The sequence below is a fragment of the Homo sapiens genome, chromosome 1 (assembly GCF_000001405.40).
Source record: "Homo sapiens chromosome 1, GRCh38.p14 Primary Assembly".
Lineage (NCBI taxonomy): Eukaryota > Metazoa > Chordata > Mammalia > Primates > Hominidae > Homo > Homo sapiens.
In genome coordinates, this window is record NC_000001.11 from 97,349,084 (window position 1) to 97,370,078 (window position 20,995).

Sequence of the window (20,995 nt, forward strand, 5' to 3'; positions counted from 1 at the left end):
CTGTAGAATTTCAGCCAAGTTGCTCAACTTTTCTATCCTGCAGTTTCCTGATCTAGAAAGTACGAATAATAGTACACTAGCTCAGAGAGTTGTTTGAGGATTAAATAATATAATCTACTTAAAATGTTAACCATTTCCTGGCATAAAATAAGCTCTCAAAAATGAGAACCATTTAATATTATCAATGTGAGCCAATCCTACAAGTTCTTACTGAAGAAAGTAGCAATGATTCTTTTTTTTTTTTGGAGTTATTTCTTTTTATTAATTTTATTATTATTATATTTTAAGTTTTAGGGTACATGTGCACAACGTGCAGGTTTGTTACATATGTATACATGTGCCATGTTGGTGTGCTGCACCCATTAACTCGTCATTTAGCATTTGGTATATCTCCTAATGCTATCCCTCGCCCCTGCCCCCACCCCACAACAGGCCCTGGTGTGTGATGTTCCCCTTCCTGTGTCCATGTGTTCTCATTGTTCAATTCCCACCTATGAGTGAGAAAATGCGGTGTTTGGTTTTTTGTCCTTGTGATAGTTTGCTGAGAATGATGGCTTCCAGGTTCATCCATGTCCCTGCAAAGGACATGAACTCATCAATTTTTATGGCTGCATAGTATTCCATGGTGTATATGTGCCACATTTTCTTAATCCAGTCTATCGTTGTTGGACATTTGGGTTGGTTCCAAGTCTTTGCTATTGTGAATAGTACTGCAATAAATATACGTGTGCATGTGTCTTTATAGCAGCATGATTTATAATCCTTTGGGTATATACCCAGTAATGGGATGGCTGTGTCAAATGGTATTTCTAGTTCTAGATCCCTGAGGAATCAGAAAGTGGCAATGATTCTAAAAGAATCCAAAAAAAAAAAAAATGCTGCAGATTCAAACAAGAGAAATGCTATGTAAGCAAAAAGAGAAGAAATATGTAATTAAAGAAACAGAAAGACAAAGTTAATTTTTAAGCAAAATTCAGTGAGAGAAACCAGTCTCAGAGCTGAAGACCACTCCTCTTGTAGGCTGGGAAACAGATAGAGGTAGGAGTGACAAAGAAGGAGACCAAAGAAAAAGAAAGGAAGCCATGGGAAAATTGAAATCTGCTTTTTAACTAAAAAGAATTAAACTTTATTGTAATACTGGCTGGGATATAGCTGGTAAGGAGGAACATATTAAATACTCAAACCATAGGCTTTTGTCCAAAATGTCTTATTTAAACAGTTTTCTAATCTGAAGTTTAGTACTAATCTGAAGCTTAGTACTATATACAACTGATACTTAAAAATAATTTAGTCATTCAAATTTACTTACATTCTTTCTATGCTTACAATTTATAATGGAATGTGGGTTGCTCATAACATTTTTATATTTACTCCTCCATATATAAGACTGAACTTTTGTAGGCAGCCATCCCATTTGACAAATCCAAGGTGACCTAAAAGTTTAGGTTACAGGGGTCAGTGAAATAAATTAACTGATATATTAATAGCTTATTATTGGAGCAGTTGTGTTTAAATATGACAGGTTTTGTATTAAAACTGGCACTAGTTAAGCACAGCCAGAACAGAGTTTCAATTATTAATAATGCTGTGAGTCACAAAATCAGAAAAAATTTAAAAACATCTGACATAGTTGTTCAGGGTTGTTTTACATACTGACTTTAAAATGTAATCATTTACCCAAGTGTTTATGTTATAACTGGAATCTGGTCAATAGAAATGCAATATGAGATTCAACAGCAACCGATACTGTGTGCTTTTAAAAATGAGTGTGTCATGTCAAAGACTTGTAAAATGGGAGCAGTGCCTTACCAAGGCTGAGTCTTTTAGTAATGAAATGAATGAAACTCTATATGGTGAACTTATAGAAAAGCCACTATGTTTGATGCAATTGGCTACAGGAAGTCGTGGCCTTCAGGAAAGAATCTGTGGGAGGTTTGCTGAACTTTGTATCTCCTATTCAGCCACTATAAATAATTTCCCTGTGACATCCTCTAAGGAAGCAAGTGTCCCCGTTATCACATTTGCTTATTTATTTTCAGTTTATTATCTCTCTTTCAAAACTTCATAGCTCTTTATATCTGTTCCTCCCTCTTCTCCAAACCGAGAAGAGAGTAATTAAAAATTAGAAGTTTGAAATATGTAAGATCTAACATGAACATTCCACTGCATCTGGAAGCTGACAGGGCAACTGACTTATTCTTGCAGGTGCTTAAAATGAACTATATGACAAGTTGGAGAGTTTACTCTGAAAGCCCAATTAGTAAAAATAAAATGAGAGAAGATGTTCCCACGGCGTTTGCAAAATGATATTAAAAGAACCAATGTTTCTTTTAAAAATAAGCCTGATACAGGAAAAAGGTAAAGGGCAGAATCAAAGTGGCAAGAAAAGAAAAAAATAAATCATGGAATGAAAGAAACACTGAACTGGAAATTTAGAGATATGAGGTCAAGGGGAAAGGTTAAAATTATAAAGGACATGAATACAGAGATAGAAGAAATCATGTCCGTGGTAGAAGACAGTACACTAACTTTTTTGAGCTACTATCCCCAATCTTATTTAAAATAATAACTACAACAAAAATAAAAACAGCATTAATCTTAGAATACAATAAGGCAAAAAATGGAGAATTAGCAAACACGATAGGGAGAGAAACAAAATCAAACGTGTTTCAGGAGAAACAGGATTAGAAAAGAGAATGTTTATAAAAGAGGAAATCAGTCAGGCAAATAAAAGCAAATGGAGAAAAACATTTAAAAGGAACAAGGAACTCAATACCGTAAAAGAAGAATTGAATTGCAGATTTTGATGTAACTCACTTATATTTCATAACTATACATCTCAATTCAATTTAATTCAGCTACTGCAAGTATTACAAAAATTTGTAGCCATACCAGAGGTGGAGATTACTATTTTTATTTCATTTTGAGTGTGACACAAAAATGGGGTTAAAGAATCTGGCACATTCTTTGGTATTCACTGCCAAGGAGGTTTGAACTTTCTAAAATGATGCAGTGAGATTTTCAAGCAGAAAAAAGTCCTTCTCAAATAACTCTAAATAAAAAGAAGGAGCTCTAGATCCAAAGGGATCAAGGAAGTGAAAGTGGAGGAGGTCAGACAACAAGTGCCAATGTGGCGTGTCCACACAAAGAGGAAAGAAAAATTGGGAATGATGGACATAACCAACTAAGGAATATAAAAGATTGAACAAAACCTAAACTGATGGTTCCCAGTGTCTCTAACATCTGCATGAGGCCTGCTACCTAATAGTTGCTCAATTAATAACTAATGAATTAAATGAATCAGTGAATTAACTGAATTCCACTTAGTGGAACTATCTTTTCAGGCTGTACTCATCAGTGGGAAACAATGAAAGAATGAGCAGACAGCTGGATTTACAAGAAATAGTGTCAAAAATTTGTCACTTTGGAAAAGACTTGCTCTTGGAGAAAAGAGGAAAATATTGAACAACCTGAAATAGTAAAAAAAAAAAAAAAATCTTACAGATTCTATGTGAACTGATCTACAGGGAAGAAATAGGTCTACACTGTTTTCAAAAAAAACTACTCTGGTTGTTTGATTTTTTTTTCCCCTTCCCTACTTTGTGGGATGATGTTTGATTGTTTTTTATTGCCATCAGCATTGGCACTCCTCCGGACACGTGTTTGGGGTTCTTGGAACCAAAATGAATAGTACATACAGTAAAGTGCACCTTTCGTGAAGGGAAAATGACAACTACATAACACCATGTAAAAGAATGCAGGCAAAAAGAGAATTTGTTTTTCTGTATTATATGAGACAATAAGGCGGAAAGAGAAAGAAAAGTAAGGCAAACGACGCATGACAGAAAGGAGAACAAGGCTCAGAACACACAAGATCAAGCAAGGGGGGTGGGGGAGCCCATGAAGGCAGAAACAAGGTAACAAAAAGGACAAAACCAGCAGTAGAAAAGAACTGTCAGACACAAAACCCTCAAAACAATAGATAGGAAAAAAAGGAACAAGATGACAGGAAAAGAGCAGCATGGAATCTAGTAAGAAAAAGAAACAAAAATTTCAAATAATGGATTTTCTAACACCCCCGCTGTTCCTCCAGTGCATTGTGTCACAGTCTCACAGAGCAGTGCATAATTTATTATGGTCACTCGCTGCCAGGCTGCTATAAAGGGCAGTAGCTATATGAAAATACTCCTCACTGCCTGGATGGCTTAATGATCTACCATTTGTAGAGGGGCAGGGCTGCGGAATGGCAGGCAAGGGCAGGAGGAGCACTTGTGGTGCTGGATGGCGCTCTGCATATTTAGTGCTTCCCACCGTTTGAAGAAGGGGTGTATTAACTCTCAAGACACCTCGGTGGGGTTTTTTCCCCCTTTTAAAGCCTTTCCTAAATAATAAACTTCTGTCCAGAGCAGTTTCTTAATCTGAAACTACATATACCCTCCTTTAAGGCAGGGGTCATGTCAAAGTAAACAACCACCAAAAGATGGATTTTAAACATAAAATCTGACTTGGACAATTAACATTAATAACTGGAAAACTGCATTCTGTTTTTTTTTTTTTTTTCTATGCTACAGTTTCTCTTTAGAAATGAATTTTGGGTGCAGAAAAACTTAAAAGTCTCAAAAAAAATAGAGACCATACAAATCATTTTCAGCAATCATTTTCCAGAAACTGGACTTTTCGGTAGTATTTATATAGAGGAACTTTCATAACTTCCACAAATAGCACTGTCTTCAAACTGAAATGCATCATCAAGATATCTATCAATAATTTCTGTGATTGATAAAGCCAGGGATTACTTCTTTAAAATTCTTCTTTGAGAGGCAGTCATGTCTGAGGGACAGGAGCACAGGCTCTTGAGCCAGATGGCCGAGATTTGGGTCCAGATGAGGCCACTGACTTGCCGTGTGACCCTGCCATGTTACTTACCCTTTCTGAGTTCCTTCATCTGTAAAATGGGAACAATAATAGTAAATATATCATAGAATTGCTGTGAGAATTAAATGAATTAGCCCTTGGGTGAGAGCCTGCTAAACAAAAAGCACGGCAGGTGTCAGGTGTTGTACCTGCTCTCAACAAAGCATGATGGGACATTAGGGCATTTGTAATCCAGAACCGTTCGCCATTTGGTCATAGGCATAGAGACAGCTGAAAAGTGCATCCCTTAATTCCACAAAAGACCAGGCTAGACAGTGCACTTTCTCTTTCTGTCCTCTCATCCTTGGATACAACCCTTGCTTATATAGGACAACAGATGTGTAAAAGGAAGTCACAGTCAGCTGTTTTGACATCTTTCATCCTCCAAACTCCTATAGTAAAACGCAAAATGCAAAAAATGCTCATTCTTAAACAAAATGATTTTTGAGTTCCAAAGATAAAATATTTTGAAAAAGATGGTCCAGATCACAGAAAATTGTTAATAATATGCATATATAAGTAGTATGTAATTCTGGACAAGGACAAACATATTTAGGTTGGAGAAATCAGACATGTGAAGCTTAAAATAGTAGAAGGTGGAAAGATAGCAAAAAATCAGAACAAGTTATGGAGAGTGGTCACAGAAGGAAGAAAATTAATTTGAAATGTAAGTTCTCAATTTAAAAAAATCAGAACTACTTTCCTGGGTCATACTCAAGAACAATCCTTCTCAGGATCTTCTCACTGCCAATGACACGAAAAGACATTTTGTGTCAAAGGTGAATTCATTCAATTATCCACTCATTCATTCGTTCATTCATTAATCTATCCCCAAATTATTTACTGAATACCTGCCATGTATCACATTAATCACATTAATCCCTGGAGAATCAATGGGGAACAAGTCACTCTACCATCAGTTTCTTTATTTTTCATGTGGAGAATATTCTATCTTCCCCCTCAAAGTTGATTGAGGAATGAATGTGATCCCATGTGTAGAAATAGGCACTTTGCCTAGAATACAAAGGGAACTGACTGAATAAAATCAGTTTCTAATCACCATAAAAATCATTTATGAATTTATTATTTTGGGATATATTTACATCATGATAACTATACTTTTATTGCAATCACCTTAAGACACACTTATTTACTACCTAAAGGGAAACTATATTTCACTTTATGTATTCTAAATCTATCATCTCTATAGGAATAATAGGTATATGTTTAATATTCAAAATCTTTCATTTTTGAAATTTTATTTTTTAATAATTGAAAAATTATTGTTGTATATATTTGAGTTACCAAGTGATGTTACAATTTATGAATACAATGTATACGTTAAAATTAAATCAAGTTAATTAACATATCCATCACCTAAAATACTTACTTTTTGTGGTGAGAACATTTGAAATTTACTCTCTTAGCAATTTTGAAATGTACAATAAATGGTTATTTACTATATTCACCATGTTTTACAATATATCTCATAGTAAAAAGAACCCTTATTATTCCTGTCTAATTGAGACTTTACATCCTTTCACCATCTCCTCCCTATTCTTTGACCATCTTCTCCCTATTCTCCCCACCCCGAGCTTCTGGTAATCACCATTCTACTTTCTGTTTCTTTAGTTTTAGATTGTTTCATTGTTTTAGAGTCCACATGTAAGAGAATATGCAATATTTGTCTCTCTAGGCCTGCCTTCCTTCACGTAACATGTTCTCTAGTTCCAGTCATATTGTTCCAAGTGACACAATTTCTTTCTTTTTTAAGGCTGAATAGTAGTCCATTGTGTATATATACCATATTTTCTTTATCCATTCATCTGCTGATAGACACTTAGGTTGATTCCATAAGTTGCCTATTGTGAATAGTACTGCAAGGAACATAGATAGGCATGCAGACATTTCTTTGATAAGCTGATTTCAAATCTATTGCATAAATACCCAGAAGTAGGATTGTTGGATCATATGGTAATTCTACTTTTGGTTTTTCGGGGAACTTTTATGATGTTTCCATAAAAAGTATACTAATTTACATTTCCACCAACAGCGTGCCAGGGCTCCCTTTTCTCTGCATCTTCTCCAACACTTATTATCTGTTGTCTTTTTGATAACAGCCATTCTGACAGGTGTGAGTGATATCTCACTGTGGTTTTAATTTGCATTTACCTAGTGATCACCGATGTTGAGCATTTTTTCATATGCCTATTGGTCATTTGTGTTATTTCTTTTAAGAAATGTCTATTCAGCTCCCTTGCTCATTTTTTATTCAAACTATTTCTTTTCTTTCCAAAGAGTTGTTTAGTCTCCTTATATATATTTGATATTAACCCCTTATCAGATTTATGGCCCAAAAATATTTTCTTCAAATCCATGGGTTGCTTCTTCACTCTGTTAATTGTTTCCTTTGCTGTGCAGAAGCTTTTTATTTTGATGTAATCCAATTTGTCTATTTTTGCACTTGTTGCCTGTGATCAGGTAGCAATATTTGCTGTTCTGCAATATTTGCTGTTCTGCAGCCTCCGCTGGTGACACCCAGGCAAACAGGGTCTGGAGTGGAGCTCCAGCAATTAAAAAATTAAAAAATCATTATCTAGACCAATATTGTGCACTTTTTCTCCTATATTTTCTTCTAGTAGTTTTACAGTTTAAGGTCTTACATTTACCTCTTTAATCCACTTGATAATATTTCTGTTAATGCTGTGAGATAATGATCTAATTTCATTCTTCTGCACATGGATATACATTTTTCACAACACCCTTTAATGAAAAGATGTCCTTTTTCCAATGGTTATACTTGGCACCCTTGCTTAACATCAATTGACTATATATGAATAGGTTCACTGCTGAGTTTTCCATTCTGCTCCACTGGTCAATTAGTCTATTTTTATGCCAACATCATGCTGTTTAACTAACATCACTTGGTGGTAGAGTTCAGAATCAGTTAGTATGATGTCCACAGCTTTGTTCTTTTTGCTCGGACTGACTTGGCTATTCAGGGTTTTTTTGCAGTTCCATACACATTTTAGAATTATATTTTCTATGTCTATGAAAAACTATATTAAATTTTCATAGGTATTACACTGATTGTGTAGATTGCTTTGGGAGATAATATGAACATTTTAACAAACCAATTCTTCTAATCCATGAACACAAGATATATTTGTTTTTGTATCTTTTTCAATTGCTTTCATCATGTTTTACAGTTTTTAGTATATGGGTAAGTTTCTCACCTCCTTGGTTAAATGGATTCCTTTTGATTTCTTTTTCATATAGTTCATTGTTAATGTACAGAAACATCATTGATTTTTGTTTATTGATTTTGTATGCTGCAACTGTGCTGTGTTAATTTATTAGTTCTAACAGTGTTTTTTTTTTTTGGTGGAATCCTTAGTATTTTCTACATATAAGATCATGTTAGTAAACAGCAACAATTTGACTTCTGCTTTTCCTATTTGCATGCATTTAATTTCTTTCTCTTGCTTGATTGGTTTGGTAAGGCTCTTGCTTGATTGGTCTGGTAAGGACTTCCAGTACTATCTTTTTAAAACAGACTTACGGGATACAAATGCAGTTTTGTTACATGGATATATTGCATACTGGTGAAATCTGAGTTTTCTGTATAGCCTTCACCCAAATACTGCATATTGTACCCATTAAGTAGTTTATCATACCTTAACCCTTTTCCACCCTTCCACCCTTCTGAGTCTCCAGTGACTATTATTCCATTGTCTTTGTCCATGTGTACAAATTATTTAGCTCCTGCTTATGAGTGAGAATATGTTTCCGTTTCTGAGTTATTTCAATTAAGATAATGACCTCTAGGATTCCATTCTGAGATGGCCGAATAGGAACAGCTCCGATCTGCAGCTTCCAGCATGATCAATGCAGAAGATGGGTGATTTCTGCATTTCCAGCTGAGGTACCTGGTTCATCTCATTGGGACTGGTTGGACAGTGGGTGCAGCCCACTGAGGATGAGCTGAAGCAGTGGGGGTGTCACCTCACCTGGGAAGCACAAGTGGTTGGGGGATTTCCCTTTCCTAGCCAAGGGATGCCGTGAGAGATGGCACCTGGAAAACCAGGACACTCCCACCCAAATACTGTGCTTTTCCAATGGTCTTAGCAAATGGCACACCAGGAGATTATATCCTGCGCCTGGCTCAGTGGATTCCAAGCCCAAGGAGCCTTGCTTATGGCTAGCGCAGCAGTCTGAGATCAACCTATGAGGCAGCAGCCTGGCAGGTGGAGGGGCATCTGCCATTGCTGAGGCTTGAATAGGTAAACATAGCAGCTGGGGAAGCTAGAACTCGGTGGAGCCCACCGCAGCTCAGCAAGGCTGGCTGCCTCTGTGGTCTCCACCTCTGGGGGCAGGGCATAGCTGAACAAAAGGCAGCAGAAACTTCTGCAGACTTAAACATCCCTGTCTGACAGCTCTGAAGAGAGCAGTGGTTCTCCCAGCATGGTGTCTGAGCTCAGAGAAAGGACAGGCTGCATCCTCAAGTGGGCCCCTGATGCCCGTGTAGCCTAACTGGGAGACACCTCTCAGTAGGGGCCGACAGACACCACATATAGGCAGCTGCCCCTCTGGGACGAAGCTTCCAGAGGAAGGATCAGGTCGCAATATTTGCTGTTCTGCAGCCTCCGCTGGTGACACCCAGGCAAACAGGGTCTGGAGTGGAGCTCCAGCAAACTTCAACAGACCTGTAGCTGAGGGACCTGACTATTAGAAGGAAAACTAACAAACAGAAAGGAATAGCATCAACATCAACAAAAAGGACATCTACACCAAAACCCTATCTGTAGGTCACCAACATTAAAGACCAAAGGTAGATAAAACCACAAAGATGGGGAGAAACCAGAAGAGAAAAGCTGAAAATTCTAAAAATCAGAGTGCCTCTTCTCCTACAAAGGATCACAGCTCCTCGGCAGCAACAGAAAAAAGCTGGATGGAGAATGATTTTGACAAGTTGACAGAAGTAGGCTTCAGAAGGTTGGTAATAACAAACTTCTCTGAGCTAAAGGAGGATGTTCGAACCCATCGCAAGGAAGCTTAAAACCTTGAAAAAAGATGAGATGAATGGCCACCTAGAATAAACAGTGTGGAGAAAAACTTAAATGACCTGATGGAGTTGAAAACCATGACACGAGAACTACGTGACACATGCACAAGCTTCAATAGCCAATTTGATCAAGTGGAAGAAAGGGTATCAGTGATTGAAGATCAAATTAATGAAATAAAGCAAGAAGTTTAGAGGAAAAAAAAGTGAAAATAAACGAACAAAGCCTCCAAGAAATATGGGACTCTGTGAAAATATCAAATCTACATTTGATTGGTGTACCTGAAAGTGATGGGGAGAATGGAACCAAGTTGGAAAACACTCTTCAGGATATTTTCCAGGAGAATTTCCCCAACCTAGCAAGGCAGGCCAACATTCAAATTCAGGAAATAGAGAGAACACTACAAAGATACTCCTTGAGAAGAGCAACTCCAAGACACATAATTGTCAGATTCACCAAGGTTGAAGTGAAGGAAAAAATGTTAAGGGCAGTCAGAGAGAAAGGTCGGGTTACCAACAAAGAGAAGTCTATCAGACTAACAGTGGATCTCTCAGCAGAAACTCTACAAGCCAGAAGAGAGTGGGGGCCAATATACAACATTCTTAAAGAAAAGAATTTTCAACCCAAATTTCATATCCAGCCAAACTAAGCTTCATAAGTGAAGGAGAAATAAAATCCTTTACAGACAAGCAAATGCTGAGAGATTTTGTCACCAGCAGGCCTGCCTTACAAGAGCTCCTGAAGGAAGCACTAAACATGGAAAGGAACAACCAGTACCAGCCACTGCAAAAATATGCCAAATTGTAAAGACCATCAATGCTAGGAAGAAACTGCATCAAGTAACAGGCAAAATAACCAGCTAACATCATAATGACAGGATCAAATTCACACATAACAATATTAACCTTAAATGTAAATGGGCTAAATGTTCCAATTAAAAGACATGGACTGGCAAACTGGATATTCAAGACCCATCAGTGTGCTGTATTCAGGAGAACCATCTCACATGCAAAGACACACATAGGCTCAAAATAAAGGGATGGAGGAAGATCTACCAAGCAAATGGAAAGCAAAAAAAAAGCAGAGGTTGCAATAATAGTACCTGATAAAATAGACTTTAAACCAACAAAGATCAAAAGAGACCATTATGTGATGGTAAAGGGATCAATTTAACAAGAAGAGCTAACTAACCTAAATAAATATGCACCCAATACAGGAGCACCCAGATTCATAAAGCAAGTCCTTAGAGACCTACAAAGAAACTTAGACTCCCACACAATAATAATGGGAGATTTTAACACCCCACTGTCCACTGTCAATATTAGACAGATCAGTGAGACAGAAGGTTAACAAGGATATCCAGGACTTGAACTCAGCTCTGCACCAAGCAGACCTAATAGACATCTACAGAACTCTCCACCCCAAATCAACAGAATATACATTCTTCTCAGCACCACATCACACTAATTCCAAAATTGACCACATAGTTGGAAGTAAAGCACTCCTCAGCAAATGGAAAAGAACAGAAATCACAACAAACTGTCTCTCAGACCACAGTGCAATCAAATTAGAACTCAGGATTAAGAAACTCATTCAAAATTGCACAACTACATGGAAACTGAACAACATGCTCCTGAACGACTACTGGGTAAATAACGAAATTAAGGCAGAAATAAAGATGTTCTTTGAAACCAATGAGAACAAAGACACAACATACCAGAATCTCTGGGACACATTTAAAGCAGTGTGTAGAGAGAAATTTATAGCACTAAATGCCCACAAGAGAAAGCAGGAAAGATCCAAAACTGACACCCTAATATCACAATTAAAAGAACTAGAGAAGCAAGAGCAAACAAATTCAAAAGCTATCAGAAGGCAAGAAATAACTAAGATCAGAGCAGAACTGAAGGAGATAGAGACACAAAATATCCTTAAAAAAATCAATGAATCCAGGATCTGGCTTTTTGAAAAGATCAACAAAATTGATAGAACGCTAGCAAGACTAATAAAGAAGAAGAGAGAGAAGAATCAAATAGACACAATAATAAATGATAAAGGGGATATCACCACGGATCCCACAGAAATACAAACCACCATCAGAGAATACTATAAACGTCTCTACCAAGTAAACTAGAAAATCTAGAAGAAATGGATAAATTCCTGGACACATACACCCTCTCAAGACTAAACCAGGAAGAAGATGAATCTCTGAATAGACCAATAACAGGCTCTGAAATTGAGGCAATAATTAATAGCCTACCAACCAAAAAAAGTCCAGGACCAGACAGATTCACAGCCGAATTCTACCAGAGGTACAAAGAGGAGTTGATACCATTCCTTCTGAAACTATTCCAATCAATAGAAAATGAGGGAATCCTCCGTAACTCATCTTATGAGGCCAGCATTATCCTGATACCAAAGCCTGGCAGAGACACAACAAAAAAAGAGAATTTTAGACCAAAAACCCTGATGAATATCGATGCAAAAATCCTCAGTAAAATACTGGCAAAGCGAATCCAGCAGCACATCAAAAAGCTTATCCACCACGATCAAGTCAACTTCATCCCTGGCATGCCAGCCTGGTTCAACATACGCAAATCAATAAATGTAATCCATCACATAAAGAGAATCAATGACAAAAACCATATGATTATCTCAATAGATGCATAAAAGGCCTTCAATAAAATTGAACAGCCTTCATGCTAAAAACTCTCAATAAATTAGGTATTGATGGAACATATCTCAAAATAATAAGAGCTATTTATGACAAACCCACAGCCAATATCATACTGAATGGGCAAAAACTGGAAGCATTCCCTTTGAAAACTGGCACAAGACAGGGATGCCCTCTCTCACCACTCCTATTACACATAGTGTTGGAAGTTCTGGCCAGGGCCATCAGGCAAGAGAAAGAAATAAAGGGCATTCAATTAGGAAAAGAGGAAGTCAAATTGTCCTTGTTTGCAGATGACATGATTGTATATTTAGAAAACCCCATAGTCTCAGCCCAAAATCTCTTTAAGCTGATAAGCAACTTCAGCAAAGTCTCAGGATACAAAATCAATGTGCAAAAATCACAAGCATTCCAATACACCAATAACGGACAAACAGAGAGCCAAATCATGAGCGAACTCCCATTCACGATTGCTACAGAGAATAAAATACCTAGGAATGCAACTTACAAGGGATGTGAAGGACCTCTTCAAGGAGAACTACAAACCACTGCTCAATGAAATAAAAGAGGACACAAACAAATGGAAGAACATTCCATGCTCAGGGATAGGAAGAATCAATATCGTGAAAATGGCCATACTGCCCAAGGTAATTCATAGAATCAATGCCATCCCCATCAAGCTATCAATGACTTTCTTCACAGAATTGGAAAAAACTACTTTAAAGTTCATATGGAATCAAAAAATAGCCCACATAGGTAAGACAATCCTAAGCAAAAAGAACAAAGCTGGAGGCATCACACTACCTGACTTCAAACTCTATTACAAGGCTACAGTAACCAAGACAGCATGATACTGGTACCAAAAGAGCTATATAGACCAACGGAACAGAACAGAGGCCTCAGAAATAACATCACACATCTACAACCATCTGATCTTTGACAAACCTGACGAAAACAAGAAATGGGGAAAGGATTCCTTATTTAATAAATGGTTCTGGGAAAACTGGCTAGCCATATGTAGGAAGCTGAAACTGGATCCCTTCCTTACACCTTACACAAAAATTAATTCAAGATGGATTAAAGACTCACATGTTAGACCTAAAACCATAAAAACCCTAGAAGAAAACCTAGGCAATACCAATCAGGACACAGGCATGGGAAAGGACTTCATGTCTAAAACACCAAAAGCAATGGCAACAGAAGGCAAAATTGACAAATGGGATCTAATTAAACTAAAGAGCTTCTGCACAGCAAAATAAATTACCATCAGAGTGAACGGACAACCTACAGAATAGGAGAAAATTTCTGCAATCTACCCATCTGACAAAGGGCTAATAACCAGAATCTACAAGAACTTAAACAAATTTACAAGAAAAAAACATACAACCCCATCAAAAGGTGGGCAAAGGATATGAACAGACATTTCTCAAAAGAAGACACTTATGCAGCCACAGACACATGAAAAAATGCTCATCATCACTGGTCATCAGAGAAATGCAAATCAAAACCACAATAACATACCATCTCATGCCAGTTAGAATGCCCATCATTAAAAAGTCAGGAAACAACAGATGCTGGAGAGGATGTGGAGGAATAGGAATGCCTTTATACTGTTGGTGAGACTGTAAACTAGTTCAATCATTGTGGAAGACAGTGTGGCGATTTGTCAAGGATCTAGAACTAGAAATATCATTTGACCCAGTGATCCCATTACTGGGTATATACAAAAAGGATTATAAATCATGCTACTATAAAGACACATGCACACATATGTTTATTGTAGCACTATTCACAATAGCAAAAACTTGGAAGCAGCCCAAAGGTCCATCAATGATAGGCTGGATTAAGAAAATGTGGCACATATACACCATGGATATTATGTAGCCATAAAAAAAGGATGAGTTCATGTCCTTTGCAGGATCATGGATACAGCTGGAAACCATCATTCTGAGCAAACTAGCACAAGGACAAAAAACCAAACACTGTGTGTTCTCACTCATAGGTGGGAATTTAACAATGAGAACACTTGGACACAGGATGGGGAACATCACACCCCAGGGCCTGTCATGGGGTGGGGAGCAGGGGGAGGGACAGCATTAGAGAAATACCTAATATAAATGATGAGATGATGGGTGCAGCAAACCAACATGGCACATGTATACCTACGTAACAAACCTGCACGTTGTGCACATGTACCCTAGAACTTAAATTATACGTATAAAAAATGATAATGACCTCTAGTTCCATCCATGTTGCTACAAAAGACATTATTTCATTCTTTTTATGGCTGAGTAGTATTCCATGATATCTATATCTATATCTATATCTATACAGATATTAGAAGAGAAAAGATACTGTTATCCCTTCATATATCAATTTCTTCCATGTTACCCAAAACACAATTACAGGAAAAACAGGAGTGCCAAGCCTGCCATGTTGTTTACAGTTTTGGTGTGGTCAAGGAAAGAAAAAATGTTGGCAAAGGAAAATTGCAACAAAGTTTTCCATTCACTTAATAGAAGGTTAGACATTTTACAAATAAGAGAAGAAAGCTGCATGTTCTTTTCTGATGAATCATGAACACATACTAAGGTTAATGGAATTTGCAACCTATCTATGAGGACTTTCAAAACTGAATAGACCCAGTAGCAACAAATAGGGAGAAAGGGGCAAAAACTCAAGCAATCAATCCTAGAAAAAAATAAATAAATAACATGAGGAAAGAGTCAAAGATGTTTAAGACATCTCAAAGACAGTAAAATTGTAATTCATGCTTTAAATTGATTTTTCCTTAAACAAAACTTTTTTTTGGAGAGTACATATATTCATTAAGCATACTGATACTTAAAGTGCTTTTGGTGAGAGAACAAAAACAAAGTTAGGTATAAAACAAAATTTTCAATAAGATCTCTGCAATATAAACAATGTCAAGAGAGACTTCATGTTGGTATAAAATCTGTGATTATCAATAAGCACCACCTCGTGTTTGTCTGGGGGGTTGTAATAGTTCTCAGAGAATATGGCTTCCCCAATGATCATGACAAAAGAGCCTTCAGTCTTCAGCCAATACTCCTAAGTTGTAAAATGCCGTAATTTTAATAACTTTATTTTTCTTGACTTACCTTATCTCCTTCTCTAGTCAGGCAAATCCATACGCCTCCTTCCTGACAGCTCACCTATCGCAGTTGGAAACCTTAAACTGACTGCACCATAAAAGACTGACTACCTCAGCAGGAAGCGTGTACAAATTTCTCTTTGCGGTAGAAGTACCTTAATTTTAAGGTCTTTGTGAAGGTGGTGCCTCTGATACCTTCGTTTAATTTGTCTTATTCCTTATCTTCTCTCTTGCCTTATCTTGAACTCTGTTGGCTCTACTCTCAGCCGCTGAGTACTTACTAGTTTTCTGGTCCAATATTGCTTTTTAGCCTGAAATGCAGTCTCCTTTACTCTCGAGTCATTTGTGGCTTCTAATACATGACTCAGTCTTGTCCACCAGTTCTTCCAATATTCTAGGCCAGTCAGATCACGTAACTAGACCCTCCCTTTTCCTGCCAATATTCATTTCTTAGCAATCTTGGTGTCCCACCTTGTCTCTACTCTGCCCTGACAATCTCTATTATTCTTCTGTGACATTACATTACCTGAACTCTTCATGAAATCATGAACTAAGACCATAGCCTCTCCTCCATCTCACCTCTGTCTCTGTCTCTCTTTATGACATTTTTATTTCATCCTTATGCTATAGTCAACAAATACATAGAGAATTCTGCTATATTTCTCAAACTCACTGTGATGTGAACAAATATTTGAGGGTGATTTTTAAAAAACTTAAAAAATACTTTTGTTGCTTATTTCTGGAATAAAACAAATGAGAACAATAAAAACCAAGTAAGTTAAAAAAATCCATAGTTAGCTGTTTTTCCTGTAACATTCACCAGGCTGGAGTGCAGTTGTGTGATCTCAGTTCACCGCAACCTCCGTCTCTCAGGCTCAAGTGATCCTCCCACCTCAGTACCCCAAGTAGCTGGAAACACAGGTGCACACCACCATATCCAGCTAATTTTTGTGTGTGTGTTTTTAGCAGACACGGGGTTTCGCCATGTTGCCCAGGCTGGTCTCAAACTCCTTAGCTCAAGCAATCTTCCTGCCTCAGCCTCCCAAAGTGCTGGCATACAGTCATGAGCCACCATGCCTGGCCTATATATAATGTTTTTTACTGCCACATAATGGTTGGGCTACACAAAAACAACAATATTTCCTGACCTAGAACTGATAATTCAGTTAGATTTAAACGGTGTTGCTTTCAACTAAAAAAATTACAACTTTTAAAAGCAGCAAAAATTTTTACATCATTACCAACATTAATAACTATAATTGAAAAACTCATAGAGAACCAGCTGTAGGCAAAATATTGGCAGTTACATAAATGTCTCTTACAGATTTCCTGTAGTTTATCTACTTATGTAAGCACCCATGTCTATCAAATGGCTGAGAATTAAAATCAAATAAAAAGTTGGGCAACATAATATAGTATAAAGCAGATTTTTTTTGATTAGAGATAGTTTTTCTCATAAACAAGTGGATAATTTATTTTAAAGAACTTCAAAAATTATAATGCTATGAGGAAAATAAAATAGGATGAATCCAATGAATATGGCTAACATCAGATTTTAGTCACTTTTGCAGAAGCTTATACCACACAGTCATTTCTCATGTTTCTTCATGGAACTATGTTATTTCATAGTGCAATGATTTTCAAACCCATAAAAGTGATGCCTCAGGGGATCATCCCACTGAGGCCAACCTAGTCTATCCCATACTTATCAAGTCAAATCATAGACCTGGAGTTCCAACTCTCTAGCCCAAACCTACATGTGTCCATGCTGATTCCGGCATAACTAAACATCACATTCAGGATAATTCTCCACATACATAGCTCATAGAGGCTTAAGTCACAAGGAATGAGAAGAATCAAGAACCTGCAGAAGATGTCTCAGGAGCACATACCTAATCAGTATCAAAAAGCGAACAGAACTCAGCAGTGATCCTCACCTTAGATTCTCCATGAGATGCCAGGGAGGCTACTGTGGCTTAAGTTTGTTGTATTTTACAAGTGCTGGGGCTCCCACATTCTTTTCTCTAACCTTTGGGATTTCTTATATTCCCAAACTCCTGAGTTTCAACTCTGGGAAATATGGAAAATACTATGACTTTTCAGCTGTTTTGGTTTTAAAAAAGTGTCTTCATATTGTCTCCTCCACAGACATCTATGGGGGTCTGATCCAAGCAGGGCTGTGGTCATTGCTCCCTGGACACTGCATTGCATATGAGATAGAGGGTCTGCTAAGCCAGCTGCTGAAGGAAGACTTTATTTCCCAGGGGAAATTCTAGCACATCTGGGGCACTGTGGTCCTCACACTTGGTTTGGATTCTCTTCCTGATGACGGACGTCTGCTTTCTGGCAAGGGTAAGAGTAATAATCTGTGGTTAATGTCTAATGAAAAAATGCTGGCATGTTGAAACAGAAACAAAGCCTCTCTCTTTTTTTTAAAAAAAAAAACATACAGTTTTATGCAAATTAAGTTTGAACATAGAACAGATCGTGAAAGAATTATCAAAGTATTGCTCTGGGTGGTATTTGGAGTAATAATCTTTAAAAATCAATTTTAAGGTTTACCACTTTTAAACCTTTTATTCTTGCTTAGCTAAATCGTCATGAAAGCAGGACTTCATACATCTCCCTGATGACAAAACTAATGTTTGGACTGTTTGAGTTGAACATTCTAATATTTAAAAATTCTATGCATAGAATTGAACAATATGATTAAACGCAGGAAGGGGACTGTGAGGTGGCAAGATATAACAGATGATAGCGGTTGTACTGCCATCTTTGTTCAGGTCCTTATTTGCCTGTAAAGCTACGGCAGTCTTCTCTCTGATTATACTATCATTTTTGAACTTTCTATCCAAAGAAATCATTACTAAATGAGTGTATACTAAATAGTTGTTCACTCTTTAGCAATCATACCTACAATGAAGGCACTCAAACCACTGAACAATTGGAATCCATCGAGGGCTAGGGAAATAACATCTTTGTAGCCTCTTGGAACTGTTAGGTAAAGAAATCAAATTCTTTGACAGTGATTCAAGCTCTAGGTCACTACAGATTCAAATGTGAGTATGCACTGGGTTTCTATCTTTAAACCCTTTCACATATATTCTTCTTCCTTCCTCATGGAAAGTTTGATTGACTGATAATATACACCCAGCTCATGAATTAGAATGTCATTTGAAATAGAATTAGAGAGGTGATTTCCATTTGGATAATTCCAGCTGAGAAGGTATAAATTCCAAGCAGAAGGAATAATAATTGTATGCAAAAAGGTATAGTAGGGAGTAGCCAGGGCAATGCGTTGACTTTTCCTGCTTGACCAGAAACTTTGATACGCCAAAATAACACAGTTGGGAATACTAGACAGAACACTAGACAGGGGTCAGTAACAAAGGCACTAAAGCTGTGGGACTTGCTACTTGGTTACCTTAGGCTAAGGCAGATTAAGCACTTTTCTGGTCCTTAATTCCTATCCTGTATATAAGGGAGATGAATTGGAAAATCTTTAAGGTTCTTCTCAGTCACAAAATTCTGTGCTTTACTATGCCCCGTCATCAACTCAAGGAAAAGAAGTAAGCAGCTTTAGGTTTTCTGATGGCAGGAAAAAGAAAATCATCCCAAGAGGGTTATATGACTAGCATTGAGAAGTCCTGTGGAGCATGCTGCATCTTGCTCTTCTTTATTGCCATATGGAAGGCAAGGCCTCTTACCACATATCTCACTCCATTTATAGCTCCTGGGCAACTATTTTTCTTTTGATAGCTGATGGAAGGTCTAAGAATTAAAGGTACTGCTGGCCAAAGAAGGCAGCCCAAAGACAACAATGTCAGGAACTCAGAGGTTCAGTAGAACTCCTGGGGAAGGTTGGTCTTGATATTAAAAGGTGAATCAGAAAGATATATACTGGTCAAATTCATGTTTGAGAATGAGCACATATTCTTAGTCAAATGTTTGCTACTATTCACATGCACCAGAAACAGTGTCAGAGGAGCCTAGTTAAGGTCTACCTTGTTATTGTTGCATGACAATGCAGGCCAGGGAAGGCCATATCTTGTCATTATTTTAACAGAAATAATAGGATTTTTTTGCCACCTATTGTTGGCAATAATTTTAAAAACACAACAACCACAACAATACAAAGGCCTACTCGAGGTCTATTCAGTACTAGCCTGAACTGGGTAAGAAGGTTCTGCAGGATGGAAGTAAAATATGTAATATAATTTTAGTAGGCTAAAAGAGGGTTAGTACTCAATGTGGTAAGAACATGTAGCATGTAGGAAAAGGGGAAAACCTCAAAAAGGTGTCATTTTGGCTGAATTTTACAGAATTGGTTATAAAACAATTAAATCTATTAAGTAATATGCTGTTACAGAAAATGGAATTATATAAATTGCATGTAGACAACTTTAAATTTGGATGCTAATACACCAGAGAAGCACCTTGAGTCGCAGGAGACAGAACCTAAGTAGTGGATTCAGGTTTGCTTGTAGTTTCATATATTTAGAGAAATGAAATAGAATTATAAAGACAACTTTAGAGCCTATGTAATCCTGCACTTAATTTTCAGTTAACAATACTGATACTTAACATTGATATTGCAATACCTACTTATTAGGAACTGTTCTAGACAACTTCCCTTTATTCAGGCTAATATCAAATCAAAGTGCAGGTCTAGAAGCCACTGACCAAATCTTTGACCTGGGAAACTCGAGGGCCTCTGCCTTGTGAAAAATGGAACAAAAACTCAACCGGCTTCAGAGGGTTGTTGGGAGGGAATGGAAGAAGAGTCATATTTTATTTTTCATGCTGTAATACAACTTTGATTCTTTGGAATGAATGCAACCAAAGCCGAATGATATTTTCACCTTTGCTTAAGCATCAGGGTTATTGACACCGTTAACTAAAATGGAAGCGCAGCCTCCAGTATAAAAGACCAAGGGTTCTATTCTAGCCACTTTAAGTACAAGATGTCCACTTAACCAATCATAGCCTTTTTGAGCAACTGCTGCCTAGATTCTCATTCATCAAAGTAAAATATACCAAAAAGCGAGCAGCATTAGTTAGGGTAAGCATTAGTAAAAACAAGAATCACTAAGTAAAATACTGCCTTAATGCAGGCTAAAGAAATGTTAGTGTTTTTAAAAACAGCAACATATTTTCTTTATCCACTGTATCATTGATGGGCATTTGGGTTGGTTCCAAGTCTTCGCTATGTAAATAGTGCTGCAATAA

At 37.2% G+C, this 20,995-nt stretch overlaps 1 protein-coding gene and 1 long non-coding RNA gene across 8 annotated transcripts in view; one reads left to right on the forward strand and one right to left on the reverse strand.

Moving 5' to 3' along the window:
* DPYD (dihydropyrimidine dehydrogenase) overlaps window positions 1–20,995 on the reverse strand; it is an 843,317-nt gene that overhangs the window by 271,341 nt on the left and 550,981 nt on the right. The window lies entirely within an intron of this gene.
* LOC105378867 (uncharacterized) overlaps window positions 1–20,995 on the forward strand; it is a 48,351-nt gene that overhangs the window by 11,425 nt on the left and 15,931 nt on the right. For both annotated transcript variants that reach the window (XR_007066237.1, XR_007066236.1), the window contains exon 2: window positions 17,915–18,118. This is a non-coding gene — a long non-coding RNA (uncharacterized LOC105378867). The remainder of the gene's footprint in view (window positions 1–17,914; window positions 18,119–20,995) is intronic.